The sequence below is a fragment of the Homo sapiens genome, chromosome 4 (genome assembly GCF_000001405.40).
Source record: "Homo sapiens chromosome 4, GRCh38.p14 Primary Assembly".
Lineage (NCBI taxonomy): Eukaryota > Metazoa > Chordata > Mammalia > Primates > Hominidae > Homo > Homo sapiens.
In genome coordinates this window covers 139,435,336-139,454,745 of record NC_000004.12, presented here as the reverse complement: position 1 = coordinate 139,454,745, position 19,410 = coordinate 139,435,336, and the positions used below count along the sequence as shown (strand labels likewise).

At 43.5% G+C, this 19,410-nt stretch overlaps 1 protein-coding gene, 1 long non-coding RNA gene and 1 other non-coding gene across 5 annotated transcripts in view, besides 3 other annotated features; 2 read left to right on the top strand and 1 right to left on the bottom strand.

The window, feature by feature from the left end:
- Window positions 1-16,370, bottom strand: part of RAB33B (RAB33B, member RAS oncogene family) — a 38,234-nt gene extending 21,864 nt beyond the window's left edge. Inside the window, exons 1-2 of one of the 2 annotated variants that reach the window (XM_011532299.2) lie at window positions 1,049-16,370; window positions 302-569 (exon numbers count right to left, since the gene is read on the bottom strand). In XM_011532299.2, coding sequence (XP_011530601.1) covers window positions 302-569; window positions 1,049-1,173 — 393 coding nt within the window. In that variant the 5' untranslated portion in view covers window positions 1,174-16,370. Of the gene's footprint in view, window positions 1-301; window positions 626-1,048 lie in introns of those variants that run through there. The other variant, NM_031296.3, reaches the window with a different exon arrangement.
- Window positions 328-377: an enhancer, noted in NCBI's record as "active region_21925". NCBI's record gives its function as "activates an Ori minimal core promoter by ATAC-STARR-seq in GM12878 lymphoblastoid cells {active_cell/tissue: GM12878}" and the evidence as "EXISTENCE:reporter gene assay evidence [ECO:0000049][PMID:35858748]".
- Window positions 598-927: a silencer, noted in NCBI's record as "silent region_15700". NCBI's record gives its function as "represses an Ori minimal core promoter by ATAC-STARR-seq in GM12878 lymphoblastoid cells {active_cell/tissue: GM12878}" and the evidence as "EXISTENCE:reporter gene assay evidence [ECO:0000049][PMID:35858748]".
- On the top strand, window positions 705-3,071 carry RAB33B-AS1 (RAB33B antisense RNA 1). Of its 2 annotated transcripts, NR_159963.1 has the most exons (2): window positions 705-1,061; window positions 1,815-3,071. It is a non-coding gene; the product is annotated as an RAB33B antisense RNA 1 (long non-coding RNA). The 2 variants fall into 2 exon arrangements; NR_159964.1 differs by having other exon boundaries at window positions 705-3,071.
- Window positions 998-1,337: an enhancer, noted in NCBI's record as "active region_21924". NCBI's record gives its function as "activates an Ori minimal core promoter by ATAC-STARR-seq in GM12878 lymphoblastoid cells {active_cell/tissue: GM12878}" and the evidence as "EXISTENCE:reporter gene assay evidence [ECO:0000049][PMID:35858748]".
- A 1,881-nt stretch (window positions 16,371-18,251) lies between the features above and the next one.
- On the top strand, window positions 18,252-18,378 carry LOC124900188 (small nucleolar RNA ACA64). Its single transcript, XR_007058554.1, has one exon. It is a non-coding gene; the product is annotated as a small nucleolar RNA ACA64 (small nucleolar RNA).
- The last annotated feature ends 1,032 nt before the right edge of the window (window positions 18,379-19,410 follow it).

Genomic DNA, 19,410 nt, shown 5'->3' with positions numbered 1-19,410 from the left:
ACTCCTGAACTCAAAGTGTGGTCCACGGACTAGCTGCACCTGCATCATCAGCGAGATTATTAAATCATAGCCTGCATTTTCAAAAACAAGATCCCCAGGTAAATCGCATGCACAATGAAGTCTGAGAAACGCTGCCTTAGAAGTTTGCAGTATTGCAATCCTTCCAATCCCCAACTCCAATCTCATCAGCGTGAGAAAAAAATGGAGCGCACACACACCGTGCACACGGCCAGCGACCAGCCCACGGTGGGGTTGGGACACCTGTCACCCTGTCCTCCCCAACAGTTCCCCATCCGCTCACCTTGATGCGCTCCCCATCAATCTCCACCGCTCGTTCTCGGAAATCCACCCCTATCGTGGCCTCGGTGCGGTCGGGGAAGCGGCCAGCGCAGAAGCGGTAGGTCAGGCATGTCTTGCCCACATTGGAGTCGCCGATCACGATTATCTTGAAGATGCGGGAGCGGGCAGGAGGCAAAAACCCTGAGGCCCCTGACACTGCCCCGCTGGACGAAAAGCTTGCCTCGAGCGACGACTCCATCTCCTCAGCCATTCCCCCGACCCGCCCCAAACTGAGGCGGAGGAAAGGAGACACAGAAAGGCTGAGAGATTACGCCACCGCAAGAGCGCGCGCCCAGCCGGCCAGTTCGGCTGCGCAACTTCCCAGGAGCCACCGCCCACCAGCCCCGAGCGCGCCTGCGCACCTTCCCGCCCCGCCCTTGCCCGCACAGGTGTGGCACCCGCCCGCCCCGCCGCACGGAGCCGCCTGCCCGCGGCCACACGCCAGGCGTCACTCGGGCTGGCGCCGGTCTACCTAGGCAGGCGTGGGACCTGTCGGGGGCTTCACGGCAGCGCGGAAGGCCAGCCTGCAGAGAGGCTGGGCCCAGCGCCCTGACTGACCCAGCCCCGCCACGTCCAAGGTTCCCGCCCTCTGGAGGAAGCCGCGCAATCACTCCGGGGGCGGGGAGAGACAGACAACTGAGAGGAAGGAGGTACCACGGGCACTCTCTCGCGAGAGGGCCGCAGAGCCGCCTTTGACGGGGGCGTGTACCTGGAGAGCAACGGTAAGGACGGAGCCGACGGCTCCGGCGTCGGGTCGGTTCCGGCATCGACGTATCGTTTGGTCGCCCCAGAGAGGAGACAGGTTTCTTCAGCTTGCCGCTGAGGATGTGGCATCGGCTGCGCTCACCGCCGCCGCCTCTGTGAACTGCGGGAGTTGGGACAGCGGCCAGGGCTAGATGGGTGGGACGCGAGTCCTCGCCGAAAGCTTGCCCTGTGCGGGGCGCACTTGGAGGCGAGCTCTGGGCCGTGGCGAGTTTTGCAGCCTAAGGTCTTGGCAGGCGCATTGCTGTGGGCTGCCGGAGAGCAGGCTGGAGTTCGAGACCGCCCACCGGAGAGCAGGCGAGAGTTCGAGGCCTAGGTACAGCGCATTTCGCTAGGCATCCCCAAGAATATCCGCGTGATCCTTGTGGCCAGAGTTTGTTGAGCTAATATCCCCAGCCCAAACAGTAGAGCACATCACATGTCGGCCACCTGGGAGCGTTGAACCTGGTAGTTACTAGGCGCCCCTGGTGGAAATAAAACTCATTATGCCCTAGTTATGTCTTAGTGCCTGGGTGACGATGATGTAGCGGTTAAAGATTAACTGAGCGCACTTAGAGGTTGTCTTTGTCTACCTAAGGAAAATATCAATAGATTAAACCCCCAACCTTAAAGAATCTCCGTGAATTTTTCTGAGGAAACGTGCAATATTGTCATACAAAAGGCCCCAAATATGCAAACATTGCTTTTTGTTAAAAGTTTGTTTTGTTTTGCAGTGACATCTGTTTGAGCAGATGAATATGCCATTGGGAAAGTCAAGGACTGTCGGAGAGGAGGACATGGCAGACCTTAACTAAAGTGAGGGGGACAGTAGAGCACTAAAAGTTCTAGGAAAGGAGATGAACTGCTTATTCCATCAGATGAAAATATAGTCAGAACAGATGAGTAGTAGAACTTAAACATGCCCGGAGTTGCCAGGAATTTGCAAAAGCCTTGATATAATTCCTGTTGCTGTAGAAAGACTTTCTACAGTCACTAATATATCAAGTTATGTTCACTAGAAAAAAAGTTTACTTAGTTTATAGAAATGGGCTGAAAAATCCTAATTACTTATCTGTGAGGTTATTTTCATGAAGGTTAATCATCCAGAAACTATTAGAGAGCCTCGGAATATATTTCTTCTAATCTGCTCTACCTATCCCATTCAAAGGAGGGAATCTGAAGATTTAAGGACAAAGAGCAGTTGAAAACTCAGAGCTGTGGTTAATGGGAGAATTTCAAGGATGGTGAAAAAAACTAACATCATTGCATCCCTGTTTTTTGTATTCTGGACTTTTTAGTTTAGCTCTTGGTAAACTACATCAGAAATTCTTTATGCTAACTCTAACACACATTTTGGGGTATTGCTAATTTAATCTTTGAATACTGTTTTTGCTGTTTCATGATTATATGTTATGTCCTACCAGCTAGATTGCCAACTCTTGACTACTGACTGGAAGTTTATTGTTTATTCAGCAAATAATGAATTAAGTCAGTGAAGTGAGAGATTTCGTGTGTAAGGATTGTTAACTTGAACATTTCACCAGTTACACACAGTTCAGCCCTACTTAAATTTTAAAAATCATTGTTGGCACTTGACATTGTTATGAGGAGTTTTGTATTTTCAACTTGTATTTTGAGAGTGTCCTCATGTGACTGAAGTATGTGCTACTCTTCTTAATTGAATAACCCCAGAATCTCCAGAATTGATAATTGGAGGAAATTCTACTGTTGGAAAGAATGGATGGATTATACAGCCCTGTTTTTTGACTGTTCATTTTGTCCTTGGAGTCACTACCACTTGGCCTCAAAGTGTGAACATGTAACCCTTTCCTTAATACTTTGCTACACAGCTGAGCAGAAACTGTAAATTTGGATCCTTTGTCAGTACAACTTAAAATGGAACAATTTCAATGGCTTAGGGTAAGATAAGTATGTAAAGATACTTTTGTAATAGAAGAAAAAACATTGGATATTAAAATCACACAGTAGTACCTGGGTGTGGTGGCTCATGCCTATAATCCCAACGCTTTGGGAGGCCAAGACAGGAGCACTGCTGGAGGCCAGGAATTTGAGACCAGCCTGGCCAACATGGTGAAACCTCGTCTCTACCAAAAAATACAAAAATCAGCCAGGTGTGGTGGCACATGCCTGTAATCCCGGATACTCGGGAGGCTGAGGTGGGAGAATCGCTTGAACCAGGGAGGTGGAGGTTGCAGTGAGCTGAAATCGCAAAACTGCACTCCAACCTGGGCAACAGAGTGAGACCTCCTGTCTCCAAAAAAAAAAAAAAAAAAAAAAAAAAGTGGGTGTGGTTGTGTACACCTCTACTTCCTGCTACTCAGGAGGCTGAGGCTGGAGGATCTCTTGAGCCCAGGAGTTCAAGTCTGCAGTGAGCTATAGTTGCACTGCTGCACTCCAGCCTGGGTAGCACAGCGAGACCCCCATCTCTAAAACATAAAAGTAAACAGGCTGGGTGCAGTGGCTTACACCTGTAATCCCAGCACTTTGGGAGGCCGAGGAGGGTGGATCATGAGGTCAAGAGTTGAGACCAGCCTGGCCAACGTGGCGAAACCCCATCTGTACTAAAAATACAAAAATTAGCCAGTCGTGGTGCCAGGTGCCTTTAATCCCAGCTATTCAGGAGGCTGAGACAGGAGAATCGCTTGAACCTGGGAGACAGAGGTTGCAGTGAGCCAAGATCATGCCATTGCACTTCAGCCTCGGGGACAAGAACAAGACTGTGTCTCAAAAAAAAAAAAAAAAGTAGAAAACAGAATAGCATAAGGATAATCTTATATACAAAATAAGACTACTCAATTTCTGAATTTTTTTTTTAACTAGATATGCCACCTCCTGATGACAGTGCCCATTTCGTAACTTGTCTTACTCAGAAACAGCTCTTAGATAATTTTACTCTTTAAGTTCAGGTCTGAGCACAGAGGACAAAGAATTCCCTTGATTGCCTATGAAAGAAAGGATTCTCAACCTTGGCACTATTGACATTTTAAGTCAGATAATTCTTTGTTGTGGAAGGTTATCCTGTGCATTGTAGGATGTTTATTTTATCAGCATCCCTGGCTTCTACCCAGTAAATCCCAGTAGCACCCCACCACCAACCAAAACTGTCTCAAAATGTTGCTAGATGCCCCTTGGGGACAAAAATCCTCTCCCTCCCTCCTCCTTGAATGCCACTGGCACTCCTTGAGCCTACAGAAGGGCTCTTCTCACAAGTTTGATACCCTGTACCTCCCAGTTGATAGTGGGAATTACTTCTCCTTTGAAGACACAATTCCAGTTACCCTGAGAAGTATGGCATTGGCCTTGCTGGCCTCCACCAAATTACTATATCACTGTGTTTGGTAACCCCAGACATCATACTAGGGCTTTAATTTCAGTATATAAATAGTAAATTAGTATCCTTGTATAGGTTAGCTTAATGAGTTTCAGAATTCTTCAAGTCATATCTTCATAGGTAGGATCACTGTGGAGTTAATGGCATTTGAACTATGTACTCAGTACTATGCTAGTGGTTGGTGCAAGGGGAAGATACAAAATAAGGTGTGATTTTAGCCCATGAGGAATTTATACTTTATCTGCAGAAGCAAATTAATATGGAACCGTTAGTGAACACCTGGATAAAACAGAATGCTAAATTTTACCCTAGAGGTGCTTGGCCTGGACTTCAAGAATTCTAAGTGAATTGAAGTATGTTCACAGTAAGAAAGGTTAAAAATGGCTCTGCCCACTTGTAGGCAGATGGGAAGCTAGGATGGCAGACTTGCCAATATTTGATATATGTAAAAAGTGCAATCATGGCCTCTGTTGTTTCCTCTTTTATCTCGTTCTCTTTATTAGTCCAGGTTCTCTAGAGGAATAGAACTAATAGGAGATATATATATATATATATATGGAGTTTATTAAGTAGTATTAACTCACATGATCACAAGGTCCCAGAATAGGCCATATGCAAGCTGAGGAGAAAGGAAGGCAGTCGAGTTTCAAAGCTGAAGAACATGGAGTCCAATGTTTGAGGACGGGAAGCATCCAACATGGGAGAAAGCTGTAGGCTGGGAGGCTAAGCCAGTCTAGTCTTTTCATGTTTTTCTGCCTGCTTTATATTCTGGTCGTGCTGGCAGCTGATTAGATGGTGCCCGCCCAGATTAAGGGTGGGTCTGCCTTTCCCAGCCCACTAACTCAAATGTTAATCTCCTTTGGTAACACTCTCACAGACACATTCAGGATCGATACTTTGCATCCTTTAATCCAATCAAGTTGACTGTATTAACCATCACAAGTCCACCACTTGTCAACTTAAACACATACATATCTCCTGAGATCATTCATAATCTTCAAATAAAGACAATAATAATGTCATAATTACACCTAATACAACTATCCTTTGTACAGCTGGAAACACACCAGTCCCCAACCCAAATGCTATTACATAAAGTTAACAATACTTAAATGCTGATATGAAGTAAATCTTAATGTCCCATGATAAAAGGAGGCTGGGCGCAGTGGCTCACGCCTGTAATCCCAGCACTTTGGGAGGCCGAGATGAGTAATGGCTTTTGACAGTAATAGAGGGTCTCAACCTGATTTTTCTTAAGTTTGCATAAGGCTTAGGAGAGGATAAAATAAGGCAGGATCTAGAGATTGGTGAGGAGAAACGGAAGTCCTCATTCTTGACAGCTCTCAGCACATGCAGCCCTCCCCACACACACAGTCACACTCACACACACTCACAACCAGATTCACATTCCTACCCATGCACACACTAACACACACTTGTGCACTTAAACTCGTGCACTTACACATTCACATTCATATACTCACATGCACACATTCAAAACACACACATACTCTACAAACACTCATGTTGCAAAAGGGGATTTGTAAGCTGAATGTTTAGAACTCAGAACACATATTTTCACAAAAATAATATTATGGTCGGGCGCTGTGGCTCACGCCTGTAATCCTAGCACTTTGGGAGGCTCAGCTGGGCGGATCACTTGAGATCAGGAGTTCAGGACCAGCCTGGCCAACATACTAAAAATACAGAAATTAGCCAGGCATGGTGGTGCATGCCTGTAATCCCAGCTACTCGGGAGGCTGAGGCAGGAGAATCACTTGAACCCAGGAGGCAAAGGTTGCAGTGAGCCGAGATCCTGCCACTGCACTCCAGACTGGGCAACAAGAGCAAGGCTCCATCTCAAAAAAAAAGGAAATAAAATGAAGATATTTTCTTAGTACAAGTGTATATATGCACAAACATGTTTTTAACAAAAGGAGGAAATACTCAGGACAATTACAATCCTCATTTCTGCAACTGTTCACTTGGTTGTAGCTGGTATGGATGACTAGCCTTCTACTACCCATTCTGTATTCCCTTTGCCTTCAGCAAGCACCTCAGCAGGTCGTGGTTTTTTTCCTGGTGGCGTAACCCAAACCTTCATTTCTGAAGGGTCTGGACCATTTGTAGTCCTTTCTGGACTGGGCTTTTATAGTTTCCCATTGACTTCAACCACAGGGCATGGTAATACTAAGAGACACCTTAATAGATCTCTGTATTCCATGCATACTCTTCCTTACCTCAGTTGTGGAATAGTAGACTGATTTCATCTTGATGGTCCAGGTCAATCACCCCAGCCAACACTGTAACTCCCTTCTTAGACTGTTGACTTAAAAGTAGTAGACTGGGCCGGGCGCGGTGGCTCACACCTGTAATCCCAGCACTTTGGGAGGCCGAGGCGGGCAGATCACGAGGTCAGGAGATCGAGACCATCCCAGCTAAAAACGGTGAAACCCCGTCTCTACTAAAAATACAAAAAATTAGCCGGGCGTAGTGGCGGGCGCCTGTAGTCCCAGCTACTTGGGAGGCTGAGGCAGGAGAATGGCGTGAACCCGGGAGGCGGAGCTTGCAGTGAGCCGAGATCCCACCACTGCACTCCAGCCTGGGCGACAGAGCGAGACTCTGTCTCAAAAAAAAAAAAAAAAAAAAAAAAAAGTAGTAGACTGATTTCATCTTGATAGTCCGGGTCAGTCACCCCAGCCAACACTGTAACTCCCTTCTTAGACTGTTGACTTAAAGGTAGGAGGAGCCCCAAGTGTCCAGGTGACAATCTTAACTTCCTGTTTAATGGAATTGCTGTTGTGTCTCCTGGTGGCAGTGTTCCTCCCTTTGAAACTAAGACCTCTAAGCCAGCAGAACGTAATGTCATGGGAACAGGAAGCAAAACTTTTGCTAGTGACTCTCTAAGGGTGATGATGAGTGGTGCCACTTCCACCCCTTGATTCCTGGACCTGTGAATCCTGGCTATGAGAGAAATAGTATCATATATTGGACGCTGATTCAGGGTATACATGGCCTTCTGGAGAACTTTGCCCCAGGCCTGCAAAGTGTTGTCACCTGGTTGATGTTGTAATTGTGACTTCAAAAGGCCATTCCGTTCTATCATTCCAGCTGCTTCAGGATGACGGGGGAACATGGTAAGACCAGTGAATTCCATGAGCATGAGCCCACTGTCACACTTCTTTAGCCATAAAGTGAGTGCCTTGGTCAGAGGCAATGCTGTGTGGAATACCATGACAGTGGATAAGACATTCTGTGAGTCCACAGATAGTAGTCTTGGCAGAAGCATTGCATGCAGGATAGGCAAACCGATATCTGGAATAAGTGTTTATTCCAGTGAGGACAAACCTCTACCCTTTACATGATAAAAGAGGTCCAATATCATCAACATGCCATCGGGTAGCTGGCTGGTTACCCCAAGGAATGGTGCCATTTCGAGGGCTCAGTGTTGGTCTCTGCTGCTGGCAAATTGGGCACTCTGCAGTGGCCGTAGCCAGGTCAGCCTTGGTGGGTGGAAGTCCATGTTCCCGAGCCCATATGTAACCTCCATCCCTGCCACCATGGCCACTTTGTTCGTGGGCCCATTGGGCAATGACAGGCGTAACTGGGGAAAGAGGCTGAGTATGCACAGAAGGGCTCATCCTATTCACTTGATTATTAAAATCCTTCTCTGCTGAGATCACCCATTGGTGAGCACTCACATGGGATACAAATATCTTCACAGTTTTTGACCACTCAGAGAGATACATCCACATATCTCTTTCCCAGATTTCTTTGTCACCAATTTTCCAATTATGCTTCTTCCATGTCCCTGACCATCCAGCCAAACCATTAGCTACAGCCCATGAATAAGTATATAATCGCACATCTGGCCATTTCTCCTTCCATACAAAGTGCACAACTAGGTGTACTGCTTAAAGTTCTGCCCACTGGGAAGATTTCCTTTCACTGCTGTCCTTCAGGGATGTCCTAGAAAGGGGCTGTAGTGCTACAGCTGTCCACTTTTGGGTAGTGCCTACATATCGTGCAGAATCATCCGTGAACCGGGCCCTAGTCTTTTCTTCCTCTGTCAGCTGATCATAGGGAACTCCCCATGAGGCCATCGGTGCAGGCTCGGGAGATAAGTCAGGGTGGCAGGAGTGGAGACCGTGGGCATTTGAGCCACTTCCTCATGTAACTTATTTGTGCCTTCAGGACCTGCTCGAGCCTGATCACGTATATACCACTTCCATTTGATGATGGAATGCTGCTGTGCATGACCCACTTTACGGCTAGATGGGTCAGAAGGCACCCAGTTAATGATAGTCAGTTCAGGTTGAATGGTGACTTGATGACACATAGTCAAACGTTCCGTTTCCGCCAAAGCCCAGTAACAGGCCAAAAGCTGTCTCTCAGAAGGAGAATAGTTATCTGCAGAAGATGTCAGGGCCTTGCTCCAAAATCCTAGAGGCCTCTACTGTGATTCACCTATGGGGGACTGCCAAAGGCTCCAAACAGCATCCCTTGAGGTGTCACTGACACCTCAAGCACCATTGGATCTGCTGGGTCATATGGCCCAAGTGGCAGAGCAGCTTGCACAGCAGTCTGGACATGTTGTAGAGCCTTCTCCTGGACCCCAGTCAAAACTGGCAGCCTTTCGGGTCACTCAGTAAATGGGCCAGAGTAACACACCGAAATGAGGAATGTGTTGCCTCCAAAATCCAAATGGGCCCACTAGGCGTTGTTCCTCTTTCTTGGTATAGGAGGGGCCAAATGCAGCAACTTATCCTTCACTTTAGAAGGAACATCTCGACAGGACCCACACTACTGGACCCCTAGAAATTTTACTGAGGTAGAAGGTCCCTGAATTTTAGTCAGATTTATTTTCCATCTTCTGTGTCACCAGTAAGTCCAGTGTATTTGCTACTTCTTGCTCACTGGATCCGATCAGCATAATGTCATCAATGTAATGGACCAGTGTGATACCTTGTGGAAGCAAAAAGAGATCAAGTTCTCTCCAAATAAGATTATGACACAGCCAGAGAGTTGATATACCACAGAGGTAGTACAGTAAAGGTATATTGCTGGCCTTGCCAGCTGAAGGCAGATTGCTTCTGGTGGGCCTTATGGACAGGAATGGAGAAAAAGGCATTTGCCAAGTCAATGGCTACATACCACGTACCAGGAGATGTGTTAATTTGCTCAAGCAGTGAAACCGCATCTGATACAGCAGCCACAATTGGAGTCACCACTTGGTTAAGCTTACATAATTGACTGTCATTCTCCAAGATCCATCTGTCTTTTGCAGAGGCCAAATGGGAGAGTTGAACAGGGATGTGGTGGGAATCACCACCCCTGTGTCTTTCAAGTCCTTGATGGTGGCACTAATTTCCGCAACCCCTCCAGGGATGTGATACTGTTTTTTATTTACTATTTTTCTAGGTAGAGGCAGCTCTAATGGCTTCCATTTGGCTTTTTCCACCATAATAGCCCTTACTCTACCAGTCAGGGAGCCAATGTGGGGGTTCTGCCAGCTGCTAAGTATGCCTGTGCCAATTATGCATTCTGGCACTGGGAAAATGACCACAGGATGAGTCCAGGGACCCACTGGACACACTGTCAGTTGGACCTGAGCTAAAACTTCATTAATTACTTGAACTTTATAAGCTCCTATGTTAACTAGAGGACCACAGTGACATTTTGGGTCCCCTAGAATCAACGTCAGCTCAGAGCCAGTGTCCAGTAGTCCCTGAAATGTCAGATCATTTCCCTTTCCCCAGTGCACAGTTTTACCCTGGTAAAAGGCTAGAGATCTTCTTGGGGGAGAATGAGAGAAAGATTAACAGCATAAATTGTCGGTAATATAGCGGGGTCCTTCCTCAAGGGGACTGGCCTCCCCTTCATTCAAGGGGTTTTGGGTCTATTTCCTGGACCCTCCCAGCTGGGATGAGTAGGTCTAAAGTGGCTAATCCACTCCACCATCCCAATATCCTTAAGCCTTTGGATCCCTTCCTCTACATTAAATTGAGAGAGATCAGGCATTTCCAGCTCGCTCATAGTGGGCCATTTTTTAATCCATATTTCAGCTAACCAAGCAAATAAACTATTAGAACCTTTTTTAACTCCCCGAGCTGCAACATTAAATGCAGAATCCCCACTTAGTGGGCCCAAATCAATAAATTCAGCCTGATCCAACTCTGTGTTCCTTCCACCATTGTCCCACACCCTTAATATCCATTCCCATGCCTGTTCTCCAGATTTCTGCTTATATAAATTATAAAACTCAAGCAGTTATTTTCGAGTATAGTGCACCTCCTCATGGGTCACACTCTGAACCTCACCTCTAGGGGCCTGCCGGGACTTTAGTCTTGTTATAGATCCAGAAGCAAACAAGGGTATTGGGGGTGGCTCCTGAGGAGAATCAACGTTATCTTGCCTGGCAGCTGCCTCAGGGGAGGCCATCACTGTTGCCTCAGGCAGTGTAGGGTTTATCTCCTCCGACAAAGGTAGAAAGGCTGATGACAGTGTGGGTCAGGGAGGGGATGTTGCCGCTACTTGCTACCCGGGATGGGGAAGCTGTTTCTTTTGGCAAAAAAAGTTCATCAGCGTTTACAAGCTCAGTGTCCCCATTCCAACTTACAGTGTCCCATTCTTTTCCAATCAATGCCCTCACTTTAACAGTAGACACCTGGCAAGGCTGTGCATGCACCTTTTGTTGCAGGTCAGCCACTTGCCTAATAAGAGCTTGTGTCTGTTTTTCCACAATTTCAGTTCTTTCTCTACAGGAGATAAGACTCTCACTTAGGACAGTCTTAGATTTGAGGCTCAGTATCTGCTTCTGGAGCGAGGAGTTAGAATCCCTTTGGATTCACTTTGTCCAGTGAACTTAGGAACAACCAACCAACTTAATTATGTTCCTTTGTTCTCCACATAGAGTCAAAGGTATTATGTATAGAGTCACTAAACTCCTTGCCTCTCACAAGTGGTGAATCAGGAGTGTCAAACGCATTTATTTTTCATAACTCTCTAAAAAGTTCATGCCAGGCCGGGCGCGGTGGCTCAAGCCTGTAATCGCAGCACTTTGGGAGGCCGAGGCAGGCGGATCACAAGGTCAGGAGATCGAGACCATCCTGGCTAACATGGTGAAACCCCATCTCTGCTAAAAATACAAAAAATTAGCCGGGCATGGTGGTGGGTGCCTGTGGTCCCAGCTACTCGGGAGGCTGAGGCAGGAGAATGGCGTGAACCCGGGAGGCAGAGCTTGCGGTGAGCCAAGACTGCGCCACTGCACTCCAGCCTGGGTGACAGAGCAAGACTCCGTCTCAAAAAAAAAAAAAGTTCATGCCAGCGACTATCAGTGTTCTCCATACTATTAGAGTCCTTAGCATTTTGGGGTCTAATCATATTAAGCAGCCAACTTCAGAAACCCCAAAACCAACAAAAGAACTCCATCCTTAATATTCTGTTCCTGTAGAATCACTCCTGGTACCAAAATCTGTATTAGGTTTCTCTAGAGGGAAAGAACTAATGGAATAGATATATATATTTATATATAAAGGAGAGTTTATTAAGTAGTTTTAACTCACACCATCACAAGGTCCCACAATAGGCCATCTGCAAGCTGCAAGAAAGGAAGCCAGTCCGAGTTCCTGAAGAACTTGGAGTCTGATGTTTGAGGACAGGAAGCATCCAGCATAGGAGAAAGGTATAGGCTGGGAGGCTAAGCCAGTCTAATCTTTTCACGTTTTTTCTGCCTGCTTTATATTCTGATCATGCTGGCAGCTGATTAGATGGTGCCCACCCAGATTAAGGGTGGGTCTGCCTTTCCCAGCCCACTGACTCAAATGTTAAACTCCTTTGGCAACACCCTCACAGACACACACAGGATCAATACTTTGCATCCTTCAATACAATCAAGTTGACACTCACTATTAACCATCACATTCTCTTTCTCCTCACCTTTAAATTGTTTGATTATATACCATTCTTTGTATTTGAAACCTCAGCAGGGAAGTAATAGACAATTTTTAAAAGAACCTAAGTAGTAATACAAGATTTAACAGCTATATTAAACTTTATAACTTGCAGATAGAGAAGTTGCCTTTAATGACCAGGAAACATTTATAAAAATTGATTTTTAAAATTACACCCAAAAAATCTCAATTTTAAGTTACACACTCTGTTAACAGCACTAAAAATAATTTTTTAGATAAAAAGATAAAAGGAAATTCATCTAATTGGAAGCTAAAGGGAAAAATGCCTTAAATCTGGGTCAAGGAGAAAATCGCAACCGTGATTGCAGATTTATAAACTATTTAGAAATTAATCACAATGAGAACAAAAAAAATAGAAACATGAGAGTTCAGCCAAAGTAGTATATAAAGTCACAATATTAGATGTTTAATATTAATCAATATAGAATGAATGAAAATGAAACAAATAGGAGAGGATTCTAGGAAAATGGCAGAATAGGAAGCACCAGAAATCTGTCTCCTCACCTAGACAAAAATTACACTGGCAGAGTCTGTCTTATGTACAGACAATCCCTGATTTACGACGGTTTCACTTATGATTTTTCAACTTTACAATAGTCCAAAAATGTTATAGATTTTAGTACGCTTCTCGACTTACAGTGAGGTTATGTCCCAGATAAACCCGTTGTAAGTTAAAAATAATATGTCAAAAGTGTGTTTTTGACTTAAGATATTTTCAGCTTGTGATGGATTTATCTGGGATATAATTCCGTCATAAATCAAGGAACCATCTGTATTTTAGAACTGTAGAATTTATTGAAACTTGCAGCTTCCAGAGGAAGACTTGGACAGTACATTGTGGTTAAATTTTGTCAATTTCTTTAAAAAAAAATTAGTGTAATAGACACTGTCATAGCCTGAGTCCCTTAGAAAATAAAGCCTAAGGCAAAATATATATGCTAATGCTTTGAAGAGGATTGCAGAAATGTCTCCAGTTCTCTGTTCCTCCCTATATTCATTCATTTGCAATGTGTCTCTGTAACTCCCCTCATTAAAGAGTGGAATCTATTTCCTCAACCCTGGAATCTGAGCTAGCCGTGTTATGAAGTTTTGCCCAATGGAATGTGGTGAAAGTGATCATGTAGTTGTTTTAAGCGTAACCTTTAAGAAGTCTTGCATGCTTCCACTTGCTTTTCTGGGATCCTGCTCAGCTGCTATAGAACAAACCTGGGCTAGCCTACTGGGAGATGAGATTATGTGGAGCAGCAGTGAGCCATCTGTCTTAGAATAGCCGACACTTAGCCAACCTAGCAACTGGGGGAAAATATGCGGGAATGAGTCCAACAGAGACCAGAAGAATTGCCCAGCGGAGCCCAGCCCAAATAGCCAATCTATAGCATTGTGACCCAAATAAATGCATGTTGTTTTAAGACCAAAAAAAGGAAAAGAGAGGTGGGGTGCAGTGGCTCATGCCTGTAATCCTAGCACTTTGGGAGGTTGAGGTGGATGGGTCACCTGAGGTCAGGAGTTCAAGACCAGCATGGCCAACATGGCAAAATCCGTCTCTACGAAAAATATAAAATTAGCCAGGCGTGGTGGTGAATGCCTGTAGTCCCAGCTACTCTGGAGGCTGAGGCAGGAGAACCACTTGAATCTGGGAGACGGAGGTTGCAGTGAGCCAAGATCACCTCACTGCACTCCAGCCTAGGTAACAGAGCGAGACTCTGTCTCAAAAAAAAAAAAAAATTGGTCAATTTCCAGTCTTGGCACAGCAGCAGCTAACCATCTCCTACCACTGAATCTCATGGCACGCAGCTGTGCACATGTTCCTAGAGTGGTTTGCACACAGCTTGTAGGAGCTAGGGGGGCAAAAAGTACATTGTCCTCAAAACGTTAGATCTGTGCTCTGATTCCTAACTGCCACTCGTGATCACAGAGGTGCAGAGAGTCATTAGCCATTGTTGCACTTCCATTGTTGCAAGCCCCTCACCTTCTGGTTGAAGTGACTTCCAGGAGAATTAAAGAGCTGGTGTTTCCCTCCCCACTCCCATTCATTTTTCTCATTTTCCCCTTTTGGGAGCCAGACATAAACACAATTGCATATATGAGAGAAATCAGAAAGTCATGGCACAGCCTAGGGGATGGTGCAGGCTCAGAAAAGACCTCTGAGAAGACCTTAGATTTATACTTCAGACTCATCTTAGGCAAAGAGGGCTTACAACAATCAAAAAAACAAAAATAATAAAAACAGTAACAAAAACAGCAAACCCTGGAGAAGAGGAAGAATCTGATTTCCAGAGTTAACACATTAGTAAATTCTAATGTCTGGTTTTCAACAAAAATATCACAAAGGATACAGAGAAACAGGAAAGTGTAACCCATTCAAATGAAACCTAAAGAGACTCAAAAAACAAAAGGAATTTAAAGTCAAGAAAATTATTTATGAACAAAATGGAAATATCAAAAACAGATAGAAAACCTAAAAGAAACCAAAAAGAAATTCTGGAGCTAAAAAGTACAATAACTGAAATTAAAAATTCACAAGAGGGATTCAAAGGCACATTGAACAGTTAGAAGAAAGAGTCAGAAAACTTGAAGAGAGGATAATGGAAATTATTGAGTCTGAGGAACAGAAAGAAAAGAGATTGAAGAAATGTGAAAGCAGTCTAAGGAACCTGTGCGATACCTCAACCAGATCAGCATACACATTGTGATAACTACAGAAGGAGAAGAGAGAGAAAAGGCTGGTGAGAATATTTGAAGAAATGATGACCAACAGCTTCCCATATTTGATGAAAAACATGAATATGAATATCTAAGAAGTTCAATAAACCAAGTAGGATGAACTCAAAGAAACACATACTGAGATACATTATAATCAAACTATCAGAAGAGAATTTTGAAAGCAGCAAAAGAGAAATGACTCTTCGCATACAAATGATCCTCAATAAGATTATCAGCAGATTTCTTATCAAAAACTTTGGAAGCCAGAAGACAATGAGCTAATATAGTCAAAGTGGTAAAAGAAAAAATTTAGTCTATCAATCAAGAATTCCATATCTGGCCAGGCACAGTGGCTCACGCCTGTAATCCCAGCACTTTGGGAGGCCGAGGCGGGCGGATCACGAGGTCAGGAGATCCAAACCATCATGGTTAACACAGTGAAACCCCATCTCTACTAAAAATACAAAAAATTAGCTGTGCGTGGTAGTGGGTGCCTGTAGTCCCAGCTACTCCAGGAGAATGGCATGAATCCAGGAGGCGGAGCTTGCAGTGAGCTAAGATTGCGCCACTGCCCCCCAGCCTGGGCAACAGTACGAAACTCTGTGTCAAAAAAAAAATAAAAGAATCCCATACCTGGCAAAAACTGTCCTTCGAAATTGAAGTAGAAGATAAGACTTTCCAGATAAACAAAAGTTGAGGGAGTTCATTACCACTAGACCTGCCCTACAAGAAATGCTAAATGAAGTCCTGCAAGTTGAAAGGACACTAGACAGTAACTGAACTTGTATAAAGAAATAAAGATAAGTAAAGGTAAATACATGGGAAATTATAAAAGCTAGTATTATTGTAACAATGGTATGTAACTCCACTTTTTGTTTACAACATGACTTGAGACCAATACATTAACAAAAACCAATGATTAGGCCAAAAGCTAGTGTTATTGTAACTTTGCTTTTGTTGGGAAAACTCCCTGCCAGGACTGAGAATTGCCCTCTACAAGTGGAGGCAAATTACTGATTTGCCATCAGACCAAAAAAAAAAGGCAGATGATTCCGGGTTGGCAGGTAGTCAAAGATTTATCCAGGGGAAATTTATAAGGCAGCCTTGGGCAGCAGCAAGACAAGGTAGATTTCAGTGCTTATAGTACATGCCTATCTAGTCTTTTATATCATGAAGAGGGAATGGAAGGGGCGGGGGAAGTCACTGATGGTGTGTTAAGCCGTCTGGTTGTTTTCTTAATCTGTTTACTCTTTGCTTACAGGAACTGTTTGGGTTTTGTAGAGTCTGGTCAACATTCCTAAGGAGAGGAGGGATGTTGCAGACAGCAGCAGTTATTTTAGCACTGGTATGCATTTTTAGGTCACTGCATGCTACAATGCACTTTGTGGTCACATACCCAGAAAACATTTTCACAACAGGTAACTCCACATCTTGTTTTCTACTTAATTTAAGGGACTAATAGATTTAGTTTGTTTTGGACACATGTTATATAGAGATGTAATTATGTGATATCAACAGCTGAAAGGGGTGGGGGACAGGGCAGTTAAGGAGCAGTTTTTGTATCTTTTTCAAATTAAGCTGCTATAAATTTATGTTAGAAGCTTCCTTATTTAGGATGTCAAATGTAATCCCATGATAACACAAAGAAAATAGCTAAAAGAAGATAAGAAAGGAAGTTAAAAGTTTCATTACAAAAATCAACTAAACATGAAAGAAGACAGATAAGAAATGAGGAACCAAAAAAAGCTGCAATATATATAGAAAATAGCAAAATGACAGAATTCCCTCATCAGTAATTATTTTAAATGTAAATGGGTTAAACTTCAGTGAAAAGACAGAGATTAGAAGAATGGGTTTTAAAAAACCATGATTCAAGACTCCTGTGCCACATAACATTTCAGTCAATGATGGAATGCACATAGGATGGTAATACAATGGTAAGATTATAATAACGTATTTTTACTATATATTTTCTATGTTTAGATATACAAACACCATTGGGTTATAGTTACCTACAGTATTTAGTATGGTAACATGCCGTAACAGCTTTGTAGCCTAGGAGCAATAGGCTATACCATACCATCTAGGTTTGTGTAAGTACCTTCTGTGATATTTACATGATGATGAAATTGCATAACAATGCATTTCTAAGAACATATACCCATACATAAATGATACATGACTGTATATGCTGTCTGTAAGAGACTTAAGATCCAAAGACAAAAACAGGTTAAAAGTGAAAGAATGGGAAAGGATATTCCATGAAACTAATTACCAAATATTAAGGATGGCGATACTAGTATACAACAAAATACACTTCAAAGCAAAAAAGATTACTAAAGACAAAGAAGGACATTATATACTAAAAAACGGTTCAGGATGAGCACGTTGGCTCAGGCATGTAATCGCAGCACTTTGGGAGACCAAGGTATGAGGGTGCCTTGAGACCAGGAGTTGGAGACAGCCTGGGCAACACAGTGAAACGCTGTCTCTACAGAAAATTAAAAAATTAGCTGAGCATGGTAGCATGTGCCTGTAGTCTCAGCTACTCAGGAGGCTGAGGCAGAAGGATAGCTTGAGCCAAAGCACTGGAGGCTGCAGTGAGCTATGATCACACCACTGCACTTCAGCCTGGGCGACAGAGCATGATCCTGTCTTAAAAAAATAAAAAACATAAAAGGTTCAATACAGCAAGAAGGTTTAACAGTTGTAAACATGTATGCTCCTAATGACAAACCATCAACATATATGAAACAAAAATTGACGTAATTGAAGGGAGAAGTACAATTCTACATTAATAGTTGGAGACTTTAATATCCCAATCTCAGTAGTGGATAGAACCATCAAAATCTAAGCAAGGAAATATAGGACTTTCACAACACAATAAACCAACTAGATCTAACAACCATATACAGAACACTCTACCCAACAATGAAATACACATTCTTCTCAAGTATACATAGGATAAATTCCAAGATAGGTCATAAATTAAGTCTGAATTGATTTTAAAAGACAGCAAAATATCTTCCCTGACCACAATGGGATGAACTTAGAAATCAAAAACAAAAAGAAAACTGGAAAATTTAAAAATCATAGAAATTAACACACTCTTAACCATTAGATCAAAAAAGAAACCACCCGGCATTGGTTGAAAATCACCCCCCGGCTTTGGCCATGGCAGCGGGTGAGATTCGGCGCCCAGAGCCTCCAGGGGCCTCAGCTCACCGCACGCTGACACATGTGCGGCGGTGAAACCCAGCCCCAACAGGCCCCGCGGCCTCTCCCTGGGTGCGGCCGCTCGCGTGGTCTGGCTCCTGACCCAGGCTGCCGACCCCTAACCCTGTTTTCTCTCCACAGGACACTGGTCTTCCCACACGTGAGACCGATGTCGCCAGGACCACGGGGTCGGGGGGACTCGGCTGTCCTCCGTCTTTCAAATAAAGCTGTTTGTCTAAAAAAAAAAAAAAAAAAAGAAACCACAAGACAAATAATAAAATACTTATAAAGACAAGTGAAAATGAAAACACAGCATACCAAAACTTATGAGACACAACAAAAGCAGTGCCAAGGGGGAAGTTTCTAGCTATAAATTCTTACATTAAAAAATAAGAGTCTGGTCTGAAGAAAGCAAAATTAAAAATTATTTAAAAAATAAGAAAAATATCAAATCACCAACCGGACTTTCCAATTTAAGGAACTGAAAAGGAAGAGCAAACTAAACCCAGAGCTAGCAGTAGAAAGGAAGTAGTAAAGATTAGAATAGATATAAATGAAATAGAGACTAGAAAAATAATATAGAAAAATCAAAATGAAACCAAAAGTTGGTTATTCAAAAATCAAAAAACTTTGCAAATCTCTAGCTAGATCTACTTATAACAAAGGAGACAAGTCAGAAATGAAAATGAAGACATTACTACCATTTCTACAGAAATGAAAAGAGTTATAGGGGAATACTGTCAGCAATTGTCTGCCAAGAAATTGGATAACCCAAGTGAAATGGAGAAATTCCTAGAAACACTAAACCTACCAGGCTAAACCATGAAGAAATAAAAAATATGAGTAGATTTGTAACTACTAAAGAGATTCAATCAGTAATCAAACATCTCCTGTCAAAGAAAAGCCCTAAACCTGATGGCTTCACTGATTAATTCTACCAAGCATTTAAAGAAGAACTGTATCAATCATTTCAGACTTCCCAAAAATTGAAGATGAGGGCATACCCTTAACACGTTCTATGAGGCCAGCATTAACCTAATACCAAAGCCAGTAAAGGTACTACAGGAAAACTACAGACCAGTATCC